General features: G+C 49.6%; 1 protein-coding gene across 1 annotated transcript; it reads right to left on the minus strand.

The window, feature by feature from the left end:
- C6orf15 (chromosome 6 open reading frame 15) lies at positions 7,640–8,992 on the minus strand. The gene is made up of 2 exons (NM_014070.3): positions 8,906–8,992; positions 7,640–8,708 (listed from the first exon to the last, which is right to left on the minus strand). Exons 1-2 carry the CDS (start codon positions 8,970–8,972, stop codon positions 7,798–7,800), a joined length of 978 nt encoding a protein of 325 aa, NP_054789.2. The 5' UTR covers positions 8,973–8,992; the 3' UTR covers positions 7,640–7,797.

Here is a 10,229-nt window from a genome sequence, read left to right on the forward strand (position 1 = left end):
ATGAATCCTGCAAGTACTGGGCCCTTCTCTTCAAGGCAGCAGCTTCCCTTTTGGCCCAGGTATCTAAAAATGACATCTGGGAGTTGGGCCTGGAATGGGGGCCTCATGACTTGGCCCAGTGCCCTATCCTACTGTGGCTGAGCTGGTATCCAAGATGCAAGACCAAGTCCTCTTTACCCGTTGCTCATCTCTCCTTAAGCAGAGGGAAGGAGTCACTTTCGTTGCTAGGAGCTGCACTGCCTGGGATTGGAGAAGGGGTGGCACAAGCCCTCCCTTAGCCATACCGGCTGGTGTCTACCTAGGTCAAGTGCAACCCTAGTCCATTGGCTGTAAGTCCAGCCGAGCACTAGGAGTTGTCTAGGAATTGCAGTCCTTGGGTCCTAGACTGCCTTTTCTTTTTTTTCTTTTGTGGAAATATGGCCTCCTTATGTTGCCCAGGCTGGTCTCAGACTCCTGGGCTCAAGTGTCCCTCCTGCCTCAGCTTCCCCAAGTGCTGGGATTATAGGTGTGAGCCACCGCATCCAGCCTAGACTGCCTTTCAAGTTTACCTAGGACACCAGAGCACTTTGGCCCATGGTGGTGAGGCTTGCAGAGAAACTCAAGTTCCAACCACTGGGACAGGTGATTTCCCTCTGGCTAGGGCTGGCCCAGATGCCCCCCTCCACATGCAGGTGCCGGTCGATCCCAGCATGACTTTGCTCTCCGCTATGACAGTGCAGCAGTGAGTTCAATATAAAGTCCCCCACCCCATGCCCTCCCTCCCCAAAATGCAAAGACTCTCTTTCCACGCTGCAGGGACACTGCCAGGGAGGACGGAAGGGGCGTCACAATTCAAGACTGTCTCTCCTGCCCTCCTCAATGTTTCCTTTAGTGATATGAAGTTAAATCCAGTTACTGTGATTGCTCACCTGATTTTTGGTTCTTGTGATGATGCTTCTCTGTGTGCAGATAGTTGTTAAAAGTTAGTGTTCCAGGCTGGGCACAGTGGCTCATGCCTGTAATCCCAGCACTTTAGGAGGCTGAGGTGGGAGGATCATTTGAGGCCAGGAGTTCAAGATCAGTCTGAGCAACATAGTGGGACCCCATCTCTATAAAAATTTAAAAATTACCCAGGTGCAGTGGTGCAGGCCTGTTGTCCCAGCTACTTGGAAGGCTGAGGTGGGAGGACTCCTTGGGCTCAGGAGGTTGAGGCTGCAGTGAGCCCTGATGGTGCCACTCCACTTCAGCCTGGGTGATAGAGGAAGACTCTGTCTCCAAAAAATAAAAATAAAATAATAATAATAATTGCATTCGTAGGCCGGGTGCAGTGGCTCACACCTGTAATCTCAGCAGTTTGGGAGGCCAAGGTGGGTGGATGACCTGTGGTCAGGAGTTCAAAACCAGCCTGACCAACATGGTGAAACCCCATCTCTACTAAAAATAAAAAATTAGCCGGGCATGGTAGTGCACACCTGTAATCCCTGCTACTTGGGAGGCTGAGGCAGGAGAATTGCTTGAACCCGGAAGGCAGAGGTTGCAGTGAGCAGACATCGCGCCATTGCACTACAGCCTGGGCAACAAGAGCGAAAATCCATCTCAAAAAAAAAAACGCATTTGCTTCTTAGGGGGTTTCAGACATTTAAGAGAATCCTATGTATTAAATGCAAGATTTTTTTTTTTTTTTTAAGATGGAGTCTTGCTCTTGTCACCCAGGCTGGAGTGCAATGGCGCGATTTCGGCTCACTGCAACCTCTGCCTCCTGGGTTCAAGCGATTCTGCTGCCTCAGTCTCCTGAGTAGCTGGGATTATAGGCGCTTGCCACCATGCCCAGCTAATTTGTATATTTTTAGTAGAGACAGGGTTTCACCATGTTGGTCAGCCTGTTCTCGAACTCCTGACCTCAGGTGATCCACCCGCCTCGGCCTCCTAAAGTGCTGGGATTACAGGTATGAGCCACTGTGCCCAGCTAAATGAAAGATTTTAATTAAATGCTTAAATGAGTTTAAGTCTAAAATCAATATTTAGGCCGGGCGCAGTGGCTCACGCCTGTAATCCCAGCACTTTGGGAGGCTGAGGTGGGTGGATCACAAGGTCAGGAGATCGAGACCATCCTGGCTAACACGGTGAAACCCCATCTCTACTAAAAATACAGAAAAATTAGCCAAGCGTGGTGGTGGGCACCTGTAGTCCCAGCTACTCAGGAGGCTGAGGCAGGAGAATGGCGTGAACCTGGGAGGCAGAGGTTGCAGTGAGCCGACATCACGCCACTGCACTCCAGCCTGGGTGACAGAGAAGACTCCGTCTCAAAAAAATAAATAAATAAATAAATAAATAAATAAATAAATAAATAAAATCAATAATGTGTTTTAATCAGTTTGGATTATTAAATCCATAAATGTCTATGTATTAGTTGTGTACATAGTGTATAAATAGAAGAATATTTAATGCTTAAATGCTATTTGTTTAATAAATTCATAAGAGAAACAAAATTACATTAAGTAGAAATACCTTAATGACATTTAGACACTGAGAGGGTGTCCCAGGAAAAGAGAGGGGCACCTGAACTTGAAGGCTGGTGACAGATGTTTAAGGGGCCACTAACATACCAGATAGATTTTATCTTCCTAGACTCATCATCTTTGCACCTATTAATCATGAACAGAGTTAGTTCTCCTGAATTCATCATATGAAAATGTCACAGTGGACAGAGAGACTCAAGAGAAGTGAGTTTTGACTGGGTGAGTCAAGAGGGATTATGGTCCTGAGTAGCCAGGGAGTGATTTAAGTACGGGATTCAGAGAAAGGAGGGACAGAGGAAGAGGTGCTAAAGAAACAACCCTCTGGCCGGGCGGGGTGGCTCACGCGTGTAATCCCAGCACTTTGGGAGGCTGAGGCGGGCGGATCACGAGGTCAGGAGATCAGACCATCCTGGCCAACATGGGGAAACCCCGTCTCTACTGAAAAATACAAAAATTAGCTGGGGATGGTGGCACATGCCTGTAATCCCAGCTACTCGGGAGGCTGAGGCAGGGGAATCGCTTGAACCAGGGAGTCGGAGGTTGTGGTAAGCAGAGATCACGCCACTGCACTCCAGCCTGGCAACAGAGCGAGACTCCGTCTCAAGAAAAAAAAAAAAAAAAAGAAAGAAAGAAAGAGAAAAAAAAAACACCTGCTGCATCAGTCACAACTGCCATCCTGAGGCCAAGAAGAACTAAATGGTCTCAAAATTATTTCACAACTTGTTGCTACCACCTTTCCACAGTGGGGCTTGTCTAGCCAGAGAATCAAACATTAATTCACTTTAGGCTGGTCATGGTGGCTCATACCTGTAATCCCAGCACTTTGGAAGGCCGAGGCAGGAGGATCACTTGAGGCCAGGAGTTCAAGACCAACCTGGGCAACAAGCGAGACCCCCATCTCTACAAACAAACAAACAAACAAAAGAGTAAGCACGTCATACACATCATAGAATTCTAAGAACTGAAGTAACCTTGTAACATTTAGTTCATGGTAAATACATAAAGGAAACTATTATTATTATCACCCAACAGTGTGTGTGTAAGTGAAAAATGTCTTTTTTACTGACAAATGGCTAAGTGAATGCTGTTTGTTTGAGGGATGAAATATTTAAATGAGAAGCCAACTCAACTCTTCCTCTTGATCTTAGAGTCATTCTCTCAAGTGTAACTCCCAGTGCAAAGCATCACATCAACTTATCAATCGACTGTGATGTCAACTACAGCCTCTGCACCAGACCAGCCCTCCTCTGTGGGACGAAGAACTATCCTGTGGTCCTGCCAGGACTGCCTCACTGGGACAACGCACTGCATTAGGATCTATCCCTTACGATGGCTCAGGGTTTTCCAGTCTCTAAGGCACCTTATCATTATCTTACCTAAACTTCCTAATAATCCTGTGAGGGAGGCTGGACATCTGCTTTCATCCCATGTTACAGATGAGAAAACGAAGGTCCACAGAGGTCAATGACTTGCCTAAGGTGACCTGGCACAGAAAGTTGTGTGGCAGAAGGGGAACTTCTGTTTCCTAACTTCTGGATAAGCGCCCTCCTAGGATAGGAGAAATGAATGACTCTTGCTACTCCAGCCACCACTTCCACTAATTAACCACTAATAAAAATGTAAAAATCAGTATGCCAGCAGTAGTCCCTGTTGCAAACATTAGGACCTTTCTCATATCACAGATTACTGAAGACATTCCCTCTCTTTTTGTTGTAGTTGTTGTTGTTTGGTTTTTGGGTGTTGTTTTTGTTGTTGTTGTTGTTTTTCTGAGATGGAGTTTCCCTCTTGTCACCTAGGCTGGAGTGCAATGGTGCAATCTCAGCTCACTGCAACCTCTACCTCCCAGGTTCAAGCGATTCTCCTACCTCAGTCTCCCGAGTAGCTGGGATTACAGGCGCCCACCACCACACCTGGCTAACTTTTTATTTTTAGTAGAGACAGGGTAGCACCATGTTGGCCAGGCTGGTCTTGAACTCCTAATCTCAGGTGATCCACCCTCCTTAGCCTCCCAAAGTGCTGGGATTACAGGTGTAAGCCGCCTTTCTTTTCTTTTCTTTTTTTTTCCTTTTTAGTCTTGCCCTGTCACCCAGGCTAGAGTGCAGTGGAATGATCATGGCTCACTGCAGCCTCAACCTCCCAGGCTCGGGTGATCCTCCCACCTCAGCCTCCCAAGTAGCTGGTACCACAGGCATAACACCATGCCAAGCTAATATTTTATTTTTTTTAAAGTTTATTTTTGCTCTTATGATGATGATTTTTTTTTTGAGACAGAGTCTCACTCTGTTGCCCAGGCTGGAGTGCAGTGGCACAATCTCAGCTCACTGCAACCTCCATCTCCCAAGTTCAAGCAATTCTTATACCTCAGCCTTCCCTCTAGCTGGGATTACAGGCGTGCAACACCATGCCTGGCTAATTTTTGTATTTTTAGTAGAGATGGGGTTTCACCACATTGGCCAGGCTGGTCTCCACCTGCCTTGGCCTCCCAAAGTGTTGGGATTACAGGTGTGAGCCACCATGCCCGGCCTACTCTTAATTTTTTTTTTAAGTGCTCAAGCTAATTTTTTAATTACTATTTGTAGAGATGAGGTCTCCCTATGTTGCCCAGGCTGGTCTAGAATTCCTGGGCTCAAGTAATCCTCCTGCCTCAGCTCCCAAAGTGCTGAAATTACAGACATGAGCCACCATGCCCAGTTCCACCATTTTTTAAGCAACAACTAACGTTAATCCAAAGACCACCCTGAGGGGACTGGCCACATCCCCCTGGGACCCTCCACTGTTAAAGTCCATCTTCCCTGAGCCATCAGCACCAAGCATCAGATGAACTTCACTGCCCTGGCTCAGTGTTGCCTGTGTGTGAGCCTCAGCTCCCCATCCTCTCTGGGCCTCAGTGTCTTCCCTGTGCAGTATGCCCCGCAGTGCCCACCCAATGGGGTTGTTGTGAGGATTTGCTGGAAGGGTGTGTGTGCAAGCCCCTTGTCCAGGACCTGGCCTATATGTAAATATAATAAAAGTTCGTTGTTATTTCTGTTAATTGCATATTGTACTTGAATACTCCCTGGACAGATAATGAGAAAAATGAGGTTTGAGTCACCACCCCTGTCACTTGTAACCCTGTGTGACTTGCTTAATCCCTCTAAATCTCAGTTCCTCCATCTGTAAAAATCTTTTTTTTTTTTTGAGACGGAGTCTCGCTCTGTCACCCAGGCTGGAGTGCAGTGGCGCGATCTCGGCTCACTACAACCTCCAACTCCCGGGTTCAAGCGATTCTCCAGCCTCAGCCTCCTAAGTAGCTGGCATTACAGGCACCATGCCTGGCTAATTTTTGTGTTTTTAGTAGAGATGAGGTTTCACCATGTTCCCCATGTTGGACTAGGCTGTCTCGAACTCCTCAGGTGATCCGCCTGCCTCGTTCTCCCAAAGTGCTGGGATTACAGGTGTGAGCCACCGTGCCTGGCCGCAAAAATCTTATAATGCCTTCCTCACAGAGAATAATGAAGGTTAAATGATGAAACGCACAGAGCATTTTAATGCTGAGAAGGGCTTCATGAGGTTGTTGAAAAATGTCAGTGAGGCTCTGGGAGGGCTACAGCCGGAGTGTAGATTAGACTCTGGGTGTAGCCGCATGGCTCAGGAATTGAGTGGAAGAAGAGAGATGATGAGAGAGGGGGAGGGACAGAGAGAGAGGATCAGCCATTCCTTCGTGCCTGCTGAGTGCCTGCCCTGGTCCAGACCCTGTTCTTTGTGCTGGGGGTGCAGCAGTGAACTAAAGAGACAAAGCCCCTGTCCTCGTGGTGCTTATGCTCTAGTGAGTCTGTGGAACAGAGCAGGGGACTGTTGACACCAAATTTAAATGTGCGAATAGGAATGACTATGCAGAAGAGGCCACCAGGAAGAGGGACAGAGAGAAATGAGACTCCAGGCTTGATAGAATGACCTTGGGCTGGTGGAAGAGGCAGGTGCTGAAAACAGGCATGGAACCCCTTGCCCTAGGGCAGGGAGAAACCAAGAGAGTCCAAGCTGGGAAAAGAATCAGGTGAGGAGGTTGAGGTGTTGACGAAGGGAGTGTGCTTGGTGATGGGAAAGGTGGGCTCTGAGGAAGGTGTTCCAGGAAGGACTTCTCAGTGTAGGATGGAGCCTTATGGCAGACGCTGGGACCGGGCATCTTCTCCAGAAATGCCCATCTGCCACTCAGGCAGGCAGGCAGGCAGCTCCCTACCCCTTGAGTTCTGGTGTTTTTCCTACTCCTTTCTCCCCTCCCACAAGCTGCCCAACTCCCAGGGACCTGACTGGATGGAGAGTACATACACCTGGACCACTGCAGGCATGGCACAGGGAAGAGAGAATCCAGACCCAAATCACCTCCAACCCACACCTGCTGATTCTTCCGTGCTTTTGTAGCCTGACCCTTCGCTGCCGTCACTCCAACTCCTGTGTGAGGATGTTGAGCTCCTGGGAAAACCGAAGGGAGGGCAGGAGAGACAATACTGTGACCAAAGGCTGAGACTGTGTCATCACTTGGGAATGAAAGCATCAAATGCCACCCCAGGTGGGATTGTTGGCTTCAAGGTTTTTTTCTCCCTTTCCTTTCTCCCTTTTCTCTTTTCCTTTATCGAGGTCTGCTATTTACTCAGCAACTCTTCAAAGTCTGTGGTTCTGTGGGACACAATGTGCTAAATGATGCCTGTAAGGGAGGAGGTCGATGTACCTCCACTTCCAAGAAGCTTGACTTTCCGGGGAAGAAAAGACAAGTGAAGCGTAGACATTGCGACTTTTGGCTTCCTGTTTCTGTGAGTTGCAAGGAATCCTGTCCACCTGGCCCTGGAGCCGCCTTCTGGGACCTCATCCTTGCCCCCTGCTGCAGGTGCCATCTCAATTAGTCCTGCTGTCCCTCCTCCCCCTTTCAGATTCCAGCACAATTCTGGAACAGCTCTCCCACCTGGCCGGGGTGAGACTGAGGCTCCACCCTCAAGCACTTGGGCACTGATCCTTTGTGAAGGATGGGGATAGCAAGACAGCGTCTGCAGGGGCCCCTAGAGGGCCGTGGGGATGGCTAGAAAACAGGAATGAACAGACTCACTTCAGCTTATGCCCAGACTCACTTCAGCTTATGCCCAGAAACAAAGAAACCAAGGAGAAGCAAATTCCATAAGTGCTTTTATTTTATTGGAGATGAGCAGGGGAGGCACTGAAAAGTGGGGATAGTGCTGGAAACATGCTGACAGGGCCTGGATTGAGCCCACACAGCAAGGGGCGGGAGCAGGACTCTAACTCCCAATGTTGGGTTTCCCTCTATCGTGCTCTAGCCCCACTGCAACCTAGGGCTTGGAGGATTAGGGAAGCCAGCTGGGATGTTCCAAGAAGAGCCAGGAGGGCGGAGGACTCCAGGAGGAAATGGGTTATTGATACCTGGGTATAGATGAATATTCCCCCAGCTGCCTCCTGGATACCGATTAATATTCCCCCAGCTGCCTCCTGGATACCGATTAATATTTCCCCAGCTGCCTCCTGGATACCGATTAATATTTCCCCAGCTGGTACCTGGGGGTTGATTATTGATACCCCAGATTCCCTCAGGGTGTGGCATGGGCCTCGTTCCCCAACCAGTCCCAGGGCCTCCACCTCCCCAGGACACACTGGGATTCAGGGTACCCCAGGGGTGATCAGGCAGAACCCTGTGGATGAGAGACCAGGGAGGGCGTTGGGAAAGGATTTTTCCCCCGGCTCCCAGTGAATTAGAACGGGGCAGTCGTCTGGACTCCGAGTCCTGGTGGAGGAGTGAAGCCTTGGGTGAGAGGCCTGTGGCATCGGGAGAAGACTCCCCAGGCAAAGGGCCACTGCCCGGAGCGAGGGCCGCAGCACTGGAGAGGTAAGAGAGTTCTTCAGGCAGCGCTTCCCCCAGGCGGTCCTCAGCCGCAGCAGCCATCATCTGCCAAGGATCCTCAGGGGGCCAGGAATCCATGGCAGGCAGCCCCCACGATGGAGGCCACCTCTGCACTGCAGAACCTCCTGCAGGTGGGAAGCCATCTGATGCAGGCACGCTGAGCTTCAGAGGAACCCTTGCCAAGTCATTAGACCTAGGGTCCAGAGCGGGCTGCGGATGTTCAGAGTTAGAGGGGCCAGTGGAGGAAGGTTGTCCGAGCTGAGGCAAGTTGGTCCCCAAGTTTTGGGAAACTTTCTCCTCCACAACACCGATGCTCCGGGCAAAGAGGCCTGAGGGAAAGGGAAGATAAAGCAACCAGTGGTCTCCAGTCCCCGAGTCCCCAGTTCCCTTTGCTTCCCCTATGCCTATTCTTCCTTTTCCCTCAGGGACCTAAATGTGTACCCTCCTGCCTTTACCCCTTTCCTTAATTCCTGTTTCCTGGGGGACCTCCAGTCCCTCCTGCCCAAGGGCATCACGGCCTCCATACCTGGGAGATGAAGACAGACCAGGAGCAGGCCCAGAGGAGCGCAGCTCCCTGCCACGCGGCCCTGCATCCTGCTCAGCACCCGATCTCCCTCAGCCCCAAGACAGCCAGCCCTTTATCCTGGTAGTGGGGTGGGGGACAGCAGAAACAGGCTGGGCTAGTGGTTGTGAAGACAATAAACCTCCACATTCCACCCTCATTCCTAATGTGGTCTGTGGCAACAGGTGTCACTTGAATGAATGTCCCAGAGGAAGCTGGGTGTCTCCCGCCCTGGCTCCTTTCCTTGACCTCCCTGCCCCTTCTTGGCCCAGGTGTCCTGGCTCACAGCTCATCCCTGGTTGCCAGCCTCCCCAGCCCTGCTTCTCTATACACAAGGACCTCCACCCTGGGGTCCCACTCTCTTAATTGCCTCTCTCAGCAACAGAAACACTTGTTTCTTTTTGGGAGCTGGATTGTTTCCTCCCAGCACCCCTTTCTCATGCATCCTCATATCTCCTTCACCTTGGCCCCAACCTGCAGGAGGTTCTGGGGTGCAGAAGTGGCCCCATCTGAGGAGCTGCTCCTACATGAGACCCTGGATCTAGCTAGGGAAATGGACCTGGATGCCATCCTTATGAGATACTGACTAATTCCTGCTGCTGCAGTGACAAATTACCATGAACCGAATGGCTTACAACAACATGGATTTATTACTTTACAGTTTTGGAGATCAGAAGTCTAAAACAGGTCTCAGTGGATTAAAATAAAGGTGTCAGCAGGGCTGTGATTCTTTCTGGGGGCCTCAGGGGAAAATCCCTTTCCCTGCTTTTTCACCTTCTAGAGGCATCCTGTGTTCTTTGGCTCATGGTCCCCTTCCTCCATCTCCAAAGCCAAAATCAGCCATTTCTTACACTGTATCACTCAGACTTCCTCTTCTGCCTCCCATGTCCACATTAAGGGACCTGGTGACTACACTGGACCCACCTGAATAATCCATGATAATCTCTGTGAAGTCAGCCGAATAGCAACCTTAATCCCATCTGGAACCTTAATTTCCCTTTGCCATGTAACCTAATTCCTACGTTCCAGGGATTAGGATGTGGACATCTTTGATGGTGTTGGGGTTGAAGACATCATTCTGCCTGCTACTGGTGGTCAGATGTGCCATAGAGTATAAGAAACCTTGGGAGAAAGTGGCTATTTCCAAGTAACAGTAGAGGAGAGCCTTTAAATGCTGCTGTCAAATGGCCAGGACTTGATCCTTGTTGAAGCTGGGCGATGAGAATGTAGAGATTCATTAACAGTTTGTTGGCTTTTAAATATGTTTGCAAATTTTATTATAAAAATG

Source organism: Homo sapiens, chromosome 6, assembly GCF_000001405.40.
Source record: "Homo sapiens chromosome 6, GRCh38.p14 Primary Assembly".
Lineage (NCBI taxonomy): Eukaryota > Metazoa > Chordata > Mammalia > Primates > Hominidae > Homo > Homo sapiens.